This window comes from Homo sapiens, chromosome 6, assembly GCF_000001405.40.
Source record: "Homo sapiens chromosome 6, GRCh38.p14 Primary Assembly".
NCBI classification, from domain to species: domain Eukaryota; kingdom Metazoa; phylum Chordata; class Mammalia; order Primates; family Hominidae; genus Homo; species Homo sapiens.
The window spans coordinates 11081931-11098700 of NC_000006.12; the positions used below are offsets into that span (position 1 = coordinate 11081931).

Below are 16770 nucleotides of genomic sequence, written 5' to 3' on the forward strand. Positions count from 1 at the left end.
GGAGGGTCCATGGCCCTCCTAGCAGCTTGATTTTGGACTTCTAGCCCCCACAACAGTGACAGAATAAACTCCTGTTGTTTTAAGCTACTCAGTTTGTGGTTCTTTGTACTTCGTGGTTCTAGCAAACTAACACAGTGATATTAAAAATTTTCTCTACTGTTAAAAATAAAGTTTTAGGTGGGGGAGATATCACCTTCACCAAATGTAGCACATTTGTGTGTTTTTAACATTCAGAGAATTCTACCTTTTAAGGTTCTTGAGGTGACTTGCAAATTAACTAAAGTTTTAAAGTAACCTTTTTTTTCCATTGTAAATATTTCTAAAAATACTACCCATTGGAAATTAGAAAAGTAGAGTACTTTTCTGAATCCAGTCCTACTTTTATTTTACACAGTATTTCACAGCTGTGATCTCTGGAGCCAAAGCTAACCGCCGGAAAAAACAGTTTGTATGAGTTTCATGAAGTATGTCTCTGGGCTTTTGTAAATAATTTTAACTCAAATAAAACTACTTCTTGCAATACAAAAATAAAATTTAAAAAACTTAAATATTTTATTTATCTTCATCTCATCCTCTAGCATTTCTTTTTCTGTACATTCCATGATATAAAGTAACAAGTGTGATAATTTGTAAACAAATATGTATTAAAGGTGTGTGCTCAAAATTTTTTTGTTGTAACTTAAGAATGGCATACAATAAAAAAATACTTGAGTATGTGCTGGAAATTGTGTTTGAAAAGGTGTTTGTAGAAATCATTTGAAGCCTAGGACGATGAGCTTATTTCTTTGTTTCTGCCAGGCCTTAAGGCTACACTAATCCAGGATTCCCCTAATCCAATTTCAGAAATTGAACTTTTCTGGGTCAGCCCGATCAGTCAAAGCCAACCAGGCTTCAGGTGTATTTTCAGCCGCCCCTTTATTCCTGTGGTGAGGCCCTTCGGGGTCTGAGCCCTCTGTGCCTGGGATTCTCCAGAACCCCAGTCCCACAACTCCAGCTTTGCCCTTGTCACCCAGAGTTGTGGAAAGCACTGCTCAGCCTCATCTTAGGATCTCTGAATGCCCTCCCTGGGTAAAAGAGCCTCCAAACACCTGGTTCTTGTTTTAGATTTTTCTATTTCTATCTTCTCCCCAATCTTGGCCCACTTATTTCTCATTGTCTCATTAGCTCTTTAACTTTTTTTTTTTTTGAGATGGAGTTTCACTCTTGTTGCCCAGGCTGTAGTGCAATGGCCCAATCTCGGCTCACTGCGACCTCCGCCTCCTGGGTTCCAGCAATTCTGCCTCAGCCTCTTGAGTAGCTGGGATTACAAGCACCTGCCACCATGCCTGGCTAATTTTTTGTATTTTCAGTAGAGACGGGGTTTCTCCATGTTGGCTAGGCTGGTCTCAAACTCCTGGCCTCAGGTGATCCACCTGCCTCTGCCGCCCAAAGTGCTGGGATTACAGGAGTGAGCTACCGCACCCAGCCGATGTTTGTAAAAAGATTTTTGTTTTAATTCTGACTTTTTAGTTGGATTCAGCTAGAGAATTTGTCCAATTTATTTAGTCTACGATTACCAAAGGCATAATCAAAAACATTTAGAGACTACTGTCTTAGACTATGCCAGCAATCTCTTAATGAATCTGCAATCTTTTCTTACCCCTGATCTCTCCTCCACTTTACTGCCAGATCAATATTTTTAAAACAATGTTCCCATCAAGTCGTTTTGACTTGAGAGTCATCAGTGACTCACTGTATAGTGGCCCTGTACTATAACAATTTGGTGAAACTGGAATTTCCCAGTATTTCCTTTCCTTTATGTTTCTGGATCAGCGTTGGCCAATAAAGACACGTTGGATGATATTTGAGAGGTTGAAATGAAGCAGCTGCCATTTTTTTTATGCTTTAGTGACTGGTGAAGGGCAGGCATATTGTCACTGCTCTGCAGCTAGCTCACCTCGTAGGTATGGGAAAACACCCCAAAACACAGTTCCCCCATGTACTGTATTGAGCAGTGTTGTCCTGTCAAAATTCACATTCACCAGTAACATCAGAATGTGAACTTATTTGGTAATAGGGTCTTTGCAACTGTAATTAGTTATATTAAGATTAGGTCCTAATGGATTACGGTAGGCCCTAAATCCCATGACTAGTGTCCTTATAAGAAGGCCATGTGAAGACACGGCTACACAGACATGCAGGGAAGAATGCTGTGTGATGGTGGAGGCAGAGATTGGAGTGATGCAGCTTGGCCAAGGAAGGCCAAGGATTGCCACAGCCACCAGAAGCGGAAAAGACTCTCCCTTAGAGCCCTCAGAGGGAGCATGGCCCAGCCAATACCTTGCTTTTGGAGTCCTGGCTTTCTGAACTGTGAAAGACTAACTTTCTGTGGTCGAAGCCACCCAGTTTCTGTGGTACTTTCTTATGGCAGCCCTAGGAAACGAACACACTCCAGCTCCTGCCAGATCTCCCCCATCAGTTTCTTCAACTCCTGGACTGAGTGCATGCTCAGTTCCATAGTGAAGGGCACAAGCTTCTTCTACACATTATCTATGGCATCAAGGTTGGAAGTGGGGAGAGGAGGATGTTGGTTCCAGTTAGTCTTTGCAGGGTCTAGTTCTCTTTGTTGGTCCTAGTTTGCCCCTGCAGTTTCCAGTCGCCCTTACCCTTGTCCACATCCAACTTTCCTTCCCAACTGCTGTTTTAGCAACTGTAGGCTCAACACTAGGCATGGAAACAACAGCCTGCTTGGGCTGCCCTGTCAGCTCCCACAATTGCCTGAGACTTAACTCCTACAATAAATCCTGTATTCCATGCCCCTGTGGTGGTTCTGGCTTTCTGATCAAATTCTGACAGGCTCTTTTCCAAATCAAGTAAAAATGAATTGAATGCAAGCAATCCTGCTACCTAGTTCCATTAGGGCCAGGTGTGGTGACTCACACCTGTAATCCCAGCACTTTGGGAAGCTGAGGCGGGTGGGTCACTTGAGGTCAGAAGTTCGAGACCAGCCTAACTAACATGGTGAAACCATATCTCTACGAAAACATACAAAAATTAGCTGGGTGTGGTGGCGTGCACCTGTAGTCCCGGTTACTTGGGAGTCTGAGGCAGGAGAATCTTGAACCTGGGAGGCAGAGGTTGCAGTGAGCCAAGATCGCACCACTGCACTCCAGCCTGGATGACAGAGTGAGACTGTCTCAAAAAAATAAAAAATATATATAAATTAGGTTATTAAGATGCATGCATTTATTGAAGACATCCTAAGTGCAGGTGACACTGTGCCAGGTAAGCTCTTTCTATGTAGCATCTCATTACATTGTCAAAATGATTCCGTGGAGAGGGTACTACAGTTGCCCCTTGAACAACACAGGGTGGGGGTAGGGATGCTAAACCCCCCACGCAGTCAAAAACGTGTATATAACTTTTGACTTCCCAAAAACTTAACTACTAATATTGTCTACGAATGACTAGAAGCCTTACAAATAACATAAACAGTCAATTAACATGTATTTTGTATGTTATTTGTATTATATGCTATTATGTTATTTATACAAAAAAGTAAGCTAGAGAAAAGAAAATGTTATTAAGAAAATCATGCTGGGCGTGGTGGCTCACGCCTGTAATCCCAGCACTTTAGGAGGCTGAGGCAGATAGACCACGAGGTCAGGAGATCGAGACCATCCTGGCCAACACGGTGAAACCCCGTCTCTACTAAAAATAAAAAAATTAGCTGAGCGTGGTGGCGCGTGCCTGTAATCCCGGCTACTTGGGAGGCTGAGGCAGGAGAATCACTTGAACCCAGGAGTCAGAGGTTGCAGTGAGCCAAGATCGCACCACTGCACTCCAGCCTGGGCGACAGAGTAAGGGTCTGTCTCAAAAAAATAATAAATGAATAAAAAAAAGAAAAGAAAATCAGAAGGACTAGAAAATATATTTACTATTCATTAAGTGGAAGTGGATCATCATAAAGGTCTTCATCCTTGCAGTCTATACATTGAATAGGCTCAGGAGGAGGAAAAGCAGGGGTTGGTTTTGCTGTCTCAGCAATGGTAGGGGTGGAAGAAAACCCTTATATAAGTGAAACTGTGCAGTTCAAACCTATGTTGTTTGAGGGTCAATTGTATTATTATTAGTATTAAACATTAGTAAGAGGCTTAGGAAGATGAAGTCATTCAACCAAGTTAGTTAGAATTCAAACCCAGAGCTGAATTGCAGAGCAGGAACTTAACCACCATAGTCTCCCTCAACTCCAAATTTTTCAGAACTGAAAGGAACTGTTATCTTTTCCATGGAATCTTAGGCATCCTAACCATCACTCTCACAAACGTACTCATGACCTCAAGAATTTGCTCATGGTTTTTCTCTCAATCTTTCCTTTCTCCAGATCTTTTCCTGTCTGTGGTACAATGGAAACGAAATTTTAAGTTATACTGACCTGTGTTTGGATGTCAGTTCAACTCATTACCCACTACAAATTTTTTTAGAGTCACTAAGCCTCAATCACATCTGAAAAATCCTATGTTATACATGTAAAGTAATATTTAAAATAGTCCGCCAGGCGTGGTGGCTCACACCTGTAATCCTAGCTCTTTGGGAGGGCGAGGCACGTGGACCACCTGAGGTCAGGAGTTCGAGACCAGCCTGGCCAACGTGGCGAAACCCCGTCTCTACTAAAAATACAAAAATTAGCTGCGCATGGTGGCACGTGCCTATAGTCCCAGCTACTTGGGAGGCTGAGGCAGGAGAATCACTTGAACCTTGGAGGCAGAGGTTGCAGTGAGCCGAGATCACGCCACTGCACTCCAACCTGGATGACAAGAGTGAGACTCTGTCTCAAAAAAGAAAAATAAATAAGTAAGTCACATATATACACGTCTGGTTCCCTCTTGCTAGACTGGATTTTTCGTCTTTTTATAAACTATAACCCATAGTAAGAATGTATTTTGCATTGCAACTCAGTTCACACACACACTCCACTAATACATACACCCACATACATAAATAACTGAAATAAAACTTCCATAAGTAGTATTTGCCCTTACTACTTGTGATATACATTTATAGATTCTATTCTAGTCGTTAAAGTACCAGTCATGACTCTCACTGAATTAATTTCAGGATGCACATGAGAGGTGACAGCGTGCTGGCAGTCCTCACGGCCCTCGCTCGCTCTCGGCACCTCCTCTGCCTGGGCTCCCACTTTGGCTGCACTTGAGGAGCCCTTCAGCCCACCACTGCACTGTGGGAGCCCCTTTCTGGGCGGGCCAAGGCCAGAGCCGGCTCCCTCAGCTTGCAGGGAGGTGTGGAGGAAGAGGCGCGCGCCGGAACCGGGGGTGCGCGCGGCGCTTGCGGGCCAGCTGGAGCTCCGGGTGGGCGTGGGCTTGGCGGGCCCCGCACTCGGAGCAGCCGGCCGTCCCTGCCGGCCCCGGGCAATGAAGGACTTAGCACCCGGGCCAGCAGCTGCGGAGAGTGTACTGGGTCCTCCAGCAGTGCCAGCCCACCAGCGCTGCGCTCGATATCTCGGCGGGCCTTAGCTGCCTTCCCGCGGAGCGGGGCTCGGAACCCGCAGCCCGCCATGCCTGAGCCTCCCACCCCCTCCGTGGGCTCCTGTGCGGCCCAAGCCTCCCCAGTGAGCGCCACCCACTGCTCCACAGCGCCCAGTCCCATCGACCACCCAAGGGCTGAGAAGTGCGGGCGCAAGGCGGGACTAGCAGGCAGCTCCACCTGCAGCGCTGTGCGGGATCCACTAGGTGAAGCCAGCTGGGCTCCTGAGTCGGGTGGGGACGTGGAGAACATTTATGCCTAGCTCAGGGATTGTAAATACACCAATCAGCACCCTGTGTCTAGCTCAGGGTTTGTGAATGCACCAATCGACACTGTATCTAGCTACTCTGGTGGGGCCTTGGAGAACCTTTATGTCTAGCTCAGGGATTGTAAATGCACCAATCGGCACTCTGTATCTAGCTCAAGGTTTGCAAACACACCAATCAGCACCCTGTGTCTAGCTCAGGGTTTATGAATGTACCAATCAACACTCTGTATCTAGCTACTCCGGTGGGGCTTTGGAGAACCTTTGTGTCCACACTCTATCTAGCTAACCTAGTGGGGACATGGAGAACCTTTGTGTCTAGCTCAGGGATTGTAAATGCACCAATCAGTGCCCTGTCAAAACAGACCACTCGGCTCTACCAATCAGCAGGATGTGGGTGGGGCCAGATAAGAGAATAAAAGCAGGCTGCCCGAGCCAGTAGTAGCAACCTGCTCCCGTCTCCTTCTGCCCTTGGGAAGCTTTGCTCTTTTGCTATTTGCAATAAATTATGCTACTACTTACTTTTTGGGTCAACACTGCTTTTTATGAGCTGTAATACTCACTGTGAAGGTCTGCAGCTTTGCTTCTGAAGTCAGTGAGACCACGTAGCCCACCGGGAGAAACAAACAACTCCAGACACACTGTCCTAAGAGTTGTAACACTCACTGGGAAGGTCTGCAGCTTTATTCCTGAGCTAGGGATACTGTGGACCCACCAAAAGGAAGAAAGTCTGAACACATCCAAACACCAGCAGGAATAAACTCCAGACACGCCACCTTAAGAGCTATAACACTCAACTGTGAGAGTTGGTGGCTTCATTCTTGAAGTCAGTGTAGACCAAGAACCTACCAATTACGGACACACTCAGATGGGTCAACATTGAAAAACACTGAGCTAGGCTGGGCTATTTTACAACAGGGAGCATATTTATTTTTGTACTGCTAGTGGCAAGCAGTGCATGGCATGAAGTAGGTGTAGGTGTTTGGTAGATAATTGGTGTAGGACTGGATTTATCCACAAGGGCAGGAATCTGTCTTACCTTGTATCCACCCTACATTTAGCATATTCTTCCCACGATATTTAATGATCGAATGGCTAAAATTTGTGAGGCTTTAGAGATAAAACATTTGGATCGAAATCTGACGAGCACCTACTATGTGATACATAAATGGTAAAACCATAGCTTCTCTCTTTTAATACCAATCTAATGAGACGTGACTCCTCTTAATTATCGTAAAAGAAGTATGGGATTGCTGAGAGAAAACACTGCTCAACTGCGAAAACAAGAAGACATTTGGAGGCGAAAATATTACCTTTAGTAATAAGGCTACATCAGAGAACAAAAATAGTGTATGAGCCAGTCAGGCCTGTTGATTGGACCTAAGTGGAAGCACCTAGGGTGGACCTCCCTTTGCTGCTGGCCTGTGTGGATATAAGGCATAAACAGCTCAGATTTAAGAGGAATGTGGGAAAAGTGGAGCTCTGCAAAACCAGTTTTTCCTAAAGGCACCAATTAAGTAAATCACTCCTCCCCTGACCAGGGACAGAGGGGATAAAAGAGCATAGAGAGACCAGACGTAGTTTTTTTTTTTTTTTTTTTTTTTTTTTTTTTTTTTTTTTTGAGACAGAGTCTGGCTCTGTCACCCAGGCTGGAGTGCAGTGGCGCGATCTCGGCTCACTGCAAGCTCCGCCTCCCGGGTTCACGCCATTCTCCTGCCTCAGCCTCCCGAGTAGCTGGGACTACAGGCACCCGCCACGACGCCCGGCTAATTTTTTGTATTTTTAGTAGAGATGGGGTTTCACTGTGTTAGCCAGGATGGTCTCGATCTCCTGACCTCATGATCCGCCTGCCTTGGCCTCCCAAAGTGCTGGGATTACAGACGTAAGCCACTATGCCCGGCCCCAGACATAGTATTATTACACCACCTGAGCTGCCTCCCTCATGGAAGGAAATAGCAGAGGAGGAAAGGTAAGTGTTCCCCCACTAAGAATCAGATATGGGAAAGAAGACATATGTACATATTTGTATTTACATGTGTGTATTTATACTGCTGTGGTTTGAATGTTGGTGTCCCCCCAAAATTCTTATGTTGGAACCCAATGCCCAATGTGACACTATTAAGAAGTGGGGCTTGTGGGAAATGATTAGGTCATGAGGACTCCACCCTCTTGAATGAGATTAGTACCCTTGTAAAAGAAGCTCAAGGGCTGGGTGTGGTGGCTCATGCCTATAATCCTAACACTTTGGGAGGCTGAGGCCAGCGGATCACTTGAGTCTGGGAGTTTGAGACCAGCCTGGGCAACATGGTGGAACCCCATCTCTACAAAAAATACAAAAAATTAGCCAGGAGTGGTGGTGCATGCCTATAGACCCAGCTACTCTAAAGGCTGAGGTGGAAAGATCAGCTGAGCCCAGGTATGTCGAGGCTGCAGTGAGCCATGATCGTGCCACTGCACTCTAGCCTGGGCGGAGAGTGATAACTTGTCTCAGAAAAAAACAAAAACAAAAACAAAAGAACTCGAAAAGCTTGAGCGAACTGCCTTGCCTCTTCCACCTTGTAAGGACACAGCAAGAGGTGCCATCTATGAAGCAGCGAGCCCTCACCAGACATTGAATCTGCTGGCACTTTGATCTTGGACTTCTTAGCCTCCAAAACTGTATGCAATAAATTTCTGTTGTTTACAAACTACCCAATCTAAGGTATTTTGTTACAGCAGCCTGAAGTAAGACATATATGAACATATATATATATATATATATATATATGAAGTGCTAAATATAAAACAATCCAAGGGCTATCACAAGGTGGGCACACAATTGCTAAATGTAATTTACACTAGCATTTCTCAAGTCTGTTCATCAAAACATGGAGAACATTAAAAAAATTACAGGTCCTCTATACCTCCTTCCCTGCCTTCAGTATTCCTGATATGAAAGTTACGAAATTTTTTTTTTTTTTTTAAACAGAGTCTTGCTTTGTCTCCCAGGCTGGAGTGCAGTGGTGTGATCTTGGCTCACTGCGACCTCCATCTCCCGGGTTCCACAAATTCTCCCTCCTCAGCTTCCCAAGTAGCTGGGATTACAGGCACGTGCCACCATGCCTGGCTAAATTTTTTTGCATTTTTAGTAGAGATGAGGTTTCACCTTGTGGTCCAGGCTGGTCTTGAACTCCTGACCTCAAGTGATCCTCCTGCCTCGGCCTCCCAAAGTGCTGGGATTACAGGCATGAGCCACTGCGCCCGGCCCAAAATCTAGGAATGTTTTTAAAGCTCCCTGGATAATTCCAATGTATAAACAAGACTGATAACTAGGTGTAGTGGCTCACGCCTGTAATTCCATCACTTTGGGAGGCCAACGCAGGCAGATTACTTGAGCGCAGGAGTTCGAGACCAGCCTAGGTAATATGACGAAAACCTATCTCTACAAAAAATAAAATTAGCAGGGCATGGTGATGCACGCCTGTGGTCCCAGCTACTCAGGAGGCTGAGGTGGGAGGATCACTTGAGTCCGGGAGGTCGAGGCTGCAGTAAGCCATTGGCTTAGAGGAGCTAGACAGACGAGTGAACAGGAGTCAGGGAGGTCTTATTGAGGAGGAATGTGGACAGACATTGCAGAAGTAGGAGTGAGGCTATCAGAAAGGAGGAAGCAGAACATTTTATATAGGGAAGAGAATAGTAAAAGGACTCTGGAAATAGCTGTGGCTTATTTTTTTATTTTTATTAAAATGGAGTCTCACTCTATCACCCAGGCTGGAGTGCAGTGGTGTGATCTTGGCTCACTGCAACCTCTGCCTCCTGGGCTTAAGCGATTCTCCAGCCTCCTGAGTAGCTGGGATTACAGGCATCTGCCAGCACGCCCAGCTAATTTTTGTACTTTTAGTAGAGACGAGGTTTCACCATGTTGGCCAGGCTGGTCTTGAACTCCTGACCTCAGGTGATCTGTCCACCTCAGCCCCGAAAGTGCTGGGATTACAGGTGTGAGCCACTGCATCCGGCCAGCTGTGGCAGACAGGATGAGACTGTCTCAAAAACAAAAATAAAAAACAACCATGCTTAGGCCCTACTCCCAGAGATTCTGTTCATTTGGTATGGGGATGAGGTCTAGCCATTCGTAATTTATAAATCTCCCTACGTGATTTGAAATGTGCATCCAGAGTTGAGAAACATTGAAAAGGCTTAGAGCAATGGCCAGGTTTATTTCCTTCTTGTGGGTTTTGCACTAGCTGTTCCCTTTACCTGGTATGTTCTTCTCTAGGTCTTTCCATGAATCCTTGTTGTCATTCAGGACTCAGATTAAATGTTACTTCCTCAGGAAGACCTTCCCTGATCCCCCAACAAGCTAAAATAACACACCTACATTTATCACACTGTCTTGCTATTAATAGCAGTTCCTGAGATTTCTCTATTTATGCTTATTGTCTGTTTTTTTCCAACTGTCATATAAGCATCTTGAGTAAAGGCACTTTGTCTTATTCACTGCTGTATCCCCAGCACTTAGAACAGTGCCTGGCCCCTATAGGTATTCCAATATATGTGAATCAAAGAGAAAAAGGTCCTTTAAAATAAATTATTTTAGTTCTTCCGATGGCTGTTTTCTTTTCTTTTCTTTTTTTTTTTTTTTTTGATAAGAGTCTCTCTGTTGCCCAAGCTGGAGTGCAGTGGTGTGATCTCGGCACACTGCAACCTTGGCCTCCTGGGTTCAAGCGATTCTCCTGCCTCAGCCTCCTGAGTAGCTGGAATTACAGGCGCCCACCACTACCCCCGGCTAATTTTTGTATTTTTAGTAGAGACAGGGTTTCACCATGTTGGCCAGGCTGGTCTCGAACTCCTGACTTCAGGTGATCTGCTCGCCTTAGCCTCCCAAAGTGCTGGGATTACAGGCGTGAGCCACCTCGCCTAGCCCTGACGCGTATTTTCAACTGGCTTTTAATAAAATGTGTTTTAATTATGCAACATAATTGAACCACCCATGAAAAAAGCACACACTGATTTTTTGTAAATATATCTTAATTGCACTGGGTTCATTCTCTTCACAGGAATCTATATTAAATCTGTTGCAAAGCAAGTAATTATCCTTTAATGTATTTTTATACATGGTATTTGTTCCTAATGTTGCTTCTTAGGGAATACAGTTCACATAGTAGGGCAGCTGGGTATGGCAGGATACATTTATTAAATCAAGGGATTGCTGCTTAGAACTTTTGTGTTTGTTTTTGGAGACAGAAGACAGGAAACTGTAATTTTTAGAAGAGTAAAAAGGTATCTCAGGGAGCAAAAGAATCACAGGAAAACTCGAAGGCTCTGATTCCTTCTAAAAGAGGGACACATTTACCCTCTATTCTTCTGGGGGCACCTCTTTAACAAATGAATGTAATCTGGCGGAAGTGGGGAGTTTCAATTTTGGGTGGAGATACAGTAGTTGAGATTACTACAGTGTCTTGTTTCGTAGAGGTGTAAGCCAGTGCGGCAAAATCTCCAAGCTTGGTCTCAAGGAGGCAGCTGGGTCTAACTTACAACTCAGGCAGGTGATTTGAGGGCAGTGCAGCTGTCCTTAAGTCACCCGCGGGCCATTTCTGAAATGCTTTACTTACGAAAAGATAGAACATAACATCTGTTGCAGGGGGAAAATGAGATTTCGTGTCCTGACCCGCGTCTGCGGCAGGGACCTGAGTTCTTCCTCCAAGTCCCAAATAGCCAACCTTCGCCCCCGGCAACAGGGCTAGGTGCACGAGCAACCAGTTTTTCAGGCAGCCGCCTCCTCTTTCCTCTCTCGCCGTACTTCATCGATTACGGCTAGAAACAAAACGACTTTGTATACGGAGTAATGGTTGAAATCTCACTGGCGCCTCAGCAGGACGGGCAGCCAGATCCGCGGCTTTGGAGAAGGCCAGCCCACGGTCGTCCGACTGAGGCGACTTGAGCAAGACCAAAGGCAGAGCCGCCCGAGAATGAAAGCAGCGAAGCCCGAGTGGCGGTGCATTCTGGGAGTTGTAGTCCCTGCGAGACAACGCCGTCCCGACTCCACCAGGCTCTGCACTCCATCTCCCAGCCGACCCCGCGCCGCGGAGGAGGCGAGCTTGGTGATGAGCTGCCCCAGCGGTAGGGGGCCTGGGGCGGAGAAGCCGCTACAGCCGCGGCCGGGCGACGCTGACATCTGGCATCCCTGGGGTCTCAGAGACACGGGTGGACAGCGACGAGGGCCTTGTGGCCGCCGTGTGTACCCGTGCTTACCCTCTGTCCTCCCTACAGGCGCGCGGCGTCCGCCATGGAAGCGCATCCGACCGCTGGGGTCTCTGGGTGCCGCGGCCTCGGCTCTCCGGGGCGATGAGGGACTAGAGGCGCCCTGAGGCCCGCCTGCCTCCCGCGCTCTGGCCACCCCGGCGGGAAAAGGATCGGGCGGGCGGGCGGTCCCACAGTGCCCGCCTTTGCGCCGCCCCACCCCCTGGGGGCGCTGCCGAGGGGGCGCCAGCCGCCCATGCCGCCCCGGCGCCCAGCCGCGCCTGGCGCCCGCCGCTGAAGCGCAGGACGCGCCGCCGCCCGCGCTCACCGCCGTCCGCGCCAGCCGCCCCGAGCCGACTGCCCTTCTGCCCCCAAGATGTGGCACAGCGTCGGGCTGACTCTGCTTGTGTTCGTGGCCACGCTGCTGATCGTCCTGCTGCTGATGGTGTGCGGTGAGTGGGGGCGGTAGCCGCGAGGCAGTTCCACACGCCGGGTCGCTGATCTGCTGGGGTTTTTTTTGTTGTTTGTTTTTTTGAAAAAAACAAAAGGGCGTGGACGGACAATTGTCTTAAAATCAACTGTTGTCCCTTAGCCTCTAGGGCTGAGCGCAGAGGTGGGCCCTTTACTCATGGCCGGCCCTCGGGCATCCTGGGGAGGGAAAGGACAGGCTCCAGGGCTTCCTGCCTCTGAGTGAAACTCAGCCTTGCTTCACCGGCAGCGTCTGCTCTTTCATTCTCACCACAGGCTGCCCAGATTGTAACCTTGGCCTGCATTCGAAGGTGAAGTGATTGATTGGTCCTTTTTCATTTGCACAGATTCTGACCTTAATAATGAGAGGTGTCACCTTCGTTTCATCAGCGAGTGGGGTAGAGTTGGGTTTTCAGCACGCGTGAAATTGTTTACTTAGAGTTCAGCCTTAAACTCAATTCCAAGCAGAGATGTGGAGACCAGGCAGAGCTTAGAAACACCGGCTATATTAAACTTGCAGGGTCGGGTAACCTAACTCTCAGTTCTATAATAATGGTGCTATTTCGAATGCTGTGCGTATTTTCCTTCTTGGAATGAGAGGACGTTCAACTTTTTTCTTCAAATAATGGTAGCCCAATTTTAGATCTTTTTGATTTCTTTGTACATGTATAGTAGCTGATAACCACAGGTCTCTTAGCAAAGTGGCTAAGCAATTGTGAAAATCTAAAAAGTACGTAGAACACGTGTCAGTGAGTTTACACATATTTATAAGACTGAAGTATGGGTTCAGGTTGATGTAATAATGGGTCAGAATTCATACAGATACTATAGGGCTTGTTCATTACACGATAAATGTACAAATTAATACTTAGTGACGCTGTGGAATATATGTGTGCACTTGTGCATATGCATGTGTATGTATTTATAAACTTATATGTTTATTTTATTTTTTGAGATGGAGTCTCGCTCTTGTTGCCCAGGCAGGAGTGCAATGCAGTGGCCTGATCTTGGCCCACTGCAACCTCTGCCTCCTGGGTTTAAGTGATTCTCCTGCCTCAGACTCTCGAGTAGCTGTAGCCGGGATTACAGGTGCCCGCCACCATGCCCAGCTAATTTTTGTATTTTTAGTAGAGATGGGGTTTAACCGTGTTGGTCAGGCTGGTCTTGAACTCCTGACCTCATGTGATCTACCCGCCTTGGCCTCCCAAAGTGCTGGGATTACAGGCATGAGTCACTGCATCCGGCCTTGTATGTATGTTTAAAATTTGTTGTGCTTTTCTGTAACACCAGGTTAAAGCTTCTAATTTACAGCCTTTCTTTTCTGATGAGATAAAGCAATTGAATAACCTTTCTCAATTTTCTGCTTGTGATATCAACAAGCAGAAGAATATTAGAATATTGAACTAATTGTAGATGTTTAAGGTTCTTGAAGTAAGGAAAACAAAATCCTTGTGATATGTTTGGATGTGGGGAAGGAGGGAAAGCATTTATTACCCTTTCTAGTTTGAAAATGCGAGCTACCTGGACATGGGAATGAATGTGACACGTAGACCCTACCATACCTTCACTAGGATATTTGCCAAATTTACCTTTATGGCTTCAGAAATCCAAATTGCTCTCTCATCTCTAAACAGCTGTTTGATGGTTTAATTATACACATTTTTCTAAAAGTGCTTTTAGTTTCAGAAACATTAAGGAATAAGAGAGATGAGGTGTGCTAGGACAGCAGTCCCCAACCTTTTTGGTACCAGGGACTTGTTTTGTGGAGAACAATTTTTCCACAGACGGAGCAGGGATGGTTTTGGGATAAAATTATTCCAGCTCAGATCATCAGGCATTAGTTAGATTCTCATAAGGAGCGAGCAACCTAGATCCCTCCTATGTGCATTTCACAATAGGGTTTGTGCTCCTATGAGAATCTGGTATGTCGCTGATCAGACAGGAGGCGGAGCTCAGATGGTAATACTTGCCTCCTGCAGGGAGGAGGGATCTGTGTGCTAGGGCTGGAGAGCCCTGTGCTAGGACACCTTAGTTTTTGGAATAGTCAAGAACTAAAAGCTCTATGATGAAGTGATCAATACTTTTTTTGTTGTTGTTGGGAGAACTGATGATGGAGTAGCCTCATCTTTTGACTAGGATGGGGCGGGAACTTGGGGAGAGGAGGCAAGGATCAGACCAGACTTAAGAGAGAAATTGGAGTGCGATATTAGTTTGCCAGGGCTGCCATGACAAAATACCAGAGACTGGTGGGTGGCTTAAACAACTCATTTCTTTTCTTTGTTTTGCTTTTTTTTTTCTTTTTTCTTTTTTTGAGTTGGAGTTTCACTCTCGTTGCCCAGGCTGGAGTGCAATGGCGTGATCTCGGCTCACCGCAACCTCTGCCACCCGGGTTCAAGCAATTCTTCTGCCTCAGCCTCCTGAGTAGCTGGGATCACAGGCATGCGCCTAGCTGATTTTCTGTTTTTAATAGAGATGGGGTTTCTCCATGTTGGCCAGGTTGGTCTCGAACTCCCAACCTCAGGTGATCCACCCGCCTCGGCTTCCCAAAGTGCTGGGATTACAGGCGTGAGCCACAGTGCCCGTCCCCAGTGCCTGGCTAATTTTGTATTTTTAGTAGAGATGCGGTTTCTCCATGTTGGTCAGGCTGATCTCGAGCTCCCGACCTCAGGTGATCTGCCCACCTCGACCTCCCAAAGTGCTGGGATTACAGGCATGAGCCACCCATGCCCAGCCAAACGCATTTATTTTTTTACAGCTCTGGAAGCTAAAAGTCAGAGATCAGCAGGGTTGATTTTCTCCTGAGGCTTCTCTCCTTGGCTTGTAGATGGTGGTCTTCTCCTTATGTCTTCACATAGTCTCTCCTTTGTGTGTTCTAATCTCTTTATAAGGACATCAGTCGCTGGATTATGGCTCCTCACCCTATGACTTTATTTAACCTTAATTACCTCTTTAAAAATCTTTATCTGCAGGCCGGGCATGGCGGCCCATGCCTGTAATCCCAGCCCTTTGGAAGGCAGAGGCAGGCAGATCACCTGAGATCAGGAGTTCGAGACCAGCCTGGCCAACATGGCGAATCCCCGTCTGTGCTAAAAAAAAAAAAAGAATACCAAAAATTTGCCGGGCATGATGGCACATGCTTGTAATCCCAGCTGCTCAGGAGGTTGAGGCAGGAGAACTGCTTGAACCCAGTAGGTGGAGGTTGCAGTGAGCCGACATTGCACCATAGCACTCCAGCCTGGGTGACAAGAGTGAAACTCCGTTTCAAAAAAAAAAAAAAAACCTTATCTCCAAATACCGTACAGTCACACTGGGGGTTAGGATTTCAACATATGAATTTGGATGGCACACGATTCACTCTATAACAAGCACCATGTCTTTAGCACTGGCTGAAAGCTAGGGAGTAGCTGTATGCCCATAAAACAGTTGTTTTTACCCTTCTAGCGGTCACAAGCCCTTTTGAGAGTCTGGTAAATGCTGTGAACCTTTCTTTTTTTTTAAAAAAGAAAAATTCACCCACATAACTTATCTGCTCCCTGCTCGCCGCCCCCCCACCCAATTTCTGAGATTTCATGGACTCCTCTTCCTTGAATACAAACATGGAGTTCAGATCAAGAGGCTCTGCTCTTTGGGCTGGGTCTCCTGTTTTCTTATTTCATTCAGTTCAACAAACTGAATATTGAGTGTCTACCAGGAACTGGGAACACAGTTCCTGTCCCTAGGAATTTATGTAGTTTTCTCTAGAGCTCTGACAGACTCCTTCACCTAGTGAATTCTGATGTCCAAAGTTCAGATTCCTAGGCAGGTTTCCCTTCTGTCTACATTGGTTGTCTCTGCTTTCTCACCTCTCATTCATTCCAAGGTGTTTTCTACCCCCACTATTCAGTGATGCTGCTGTTGTCAAAGTCAGTAACAGATGGCCTCCATATTACCCAGCCTGTGGTGGTCGCTTCTTAGTCCTAACTGAGCTTAAATTGTCATATTCATTCCTTACAGTTAAGTGATGTCTGCTAGAAACATTTAACGTTTCTTTTATTTACTTTTTTTGAGATGGAGTTTTGCTCTTGTTGCCCAGGCTGGAGTACAGTGGTGCAATCTTGGTTCACTGCAACTTCTACTCCTGGGTCTAAGTGATTCTCCTGCCTCAGCCTCCTGAGTAGCTGAGATTACAGGTGTCAGCCACCATGCCCAGCTAATTTTTTGTATTTTTAGTAGTGACGGGGTTTCACCATGTTGGCCAGGCTTGTCTTGAACTCCTGACCTCAGGTGATCCACTTGCCCCGGGCTCCCAGGGTGCT

The 16770-nt window shown here is 46.4% G+C and overlaps 1 protein-coding gene across 1 annotated transcript in view, besides 6 other annotated features; it reads left to right on the forward strand.

The window, feature by feature from the left end:
• Window positions 11511-12051: an enhancer, noted in NCBI's record as "H3K27ac hESC enhancer chr6:11093674-11094214 (GRCh37/hg19 assembly coordinates)". NCBI's record gives its function as "activates a minimal SCP1, AML or CMV promoter by ChIP-STARR-seq in naive H9 embryonic stem cells {active_cell/tissue: H9 hESC(naive)}" and the evidence as "EXISTENCE:reporter gene assay evidence [ECO:0000049][PMID:30033119]".
• Window positions 11594-11803: an enhancer, noted in NCBI's record as "active region_23976". NCBI's record gives its function as "activates an Ori minimal core promoter by ATAC-STARR-seq in GM12878 lymphoblastoid cells {active_cell/tissue: GM12878}" and the evidence as "EXISTENCE:reporter gene assay evidence [ECO:0000049][PMID:35858748]".
• SMIM13 (small integral membrane protein 13) overlaps window positions 11904-16770 on the forward strand; it is a 44900-nt gene continuing 40033 nt past the window's right edge. The window contains exon 1 of the mRNA NM_001135575.2: window positions 11904-12459. Coding sequence (NP_001129047.1) covers window positions 12384-12459 — 76 coding nt within the window. The 5' untranslated portion in view covers window positions 11904-12383. The remainder of the gene's footprint in view (window positions 12460-16770) is intronic.
• Window positions 12052-12593: an enhancer, noted in NCBI's record as "H3K27ac hESC enhancer chr6:11094215-11094756 (GRCh37/hg19 assembly coordinates)". NCBI's record gives its function as "activates a minimal SCP1, AML or CMV promoter by ChIP-STARR-seq in primed H9 embryonic stem cells {active_cell/tissue: H9 hESC(primed)}" and the evidence as "EXISTENCE:reporter gene assay evidence [ECO:0000049][PMID:30033119]".
• Window positions 12064-12373: a silencer, noted in NCBI's record as "silent region_16909". NCBI's record gives its function as "represses an Ori minimal core promoter by ATAC-STARR-seq in GM12878 lymphoblastoid cells {active_cell/tissue: GM12878}" and the evidence as "EXISTENCE:reporter gene assay evidence [ECO:0000049][PMID:35858748]".
• Window positions 12474-12593: an enhancer, noted in NCBI's record as "active region_23977". NCBI's record gives its function as "activates an Ori minimal core promoter by ATAC-STARR-seq in GM12878 lymphoblastoid cells {active_cell/tissue: GM12878}" and the evidence as "EXISTENCE:reporter gene assay evidence [ECO:0000049][PMID:35858748]".
• Window positions 14451-14530: a silencer, noted in NCBI's record as "silent region_16910". NCBI's record gives its function as "represses an Ori minimal core promoter by ATAC-STARR-seq in GM12878 lymphoblastoid cells {active_cell/tissue: GM12878}" and the evidence as "EXISTENCE:reporter gene assay evidence [ECO:0000049][PMID:35858748]".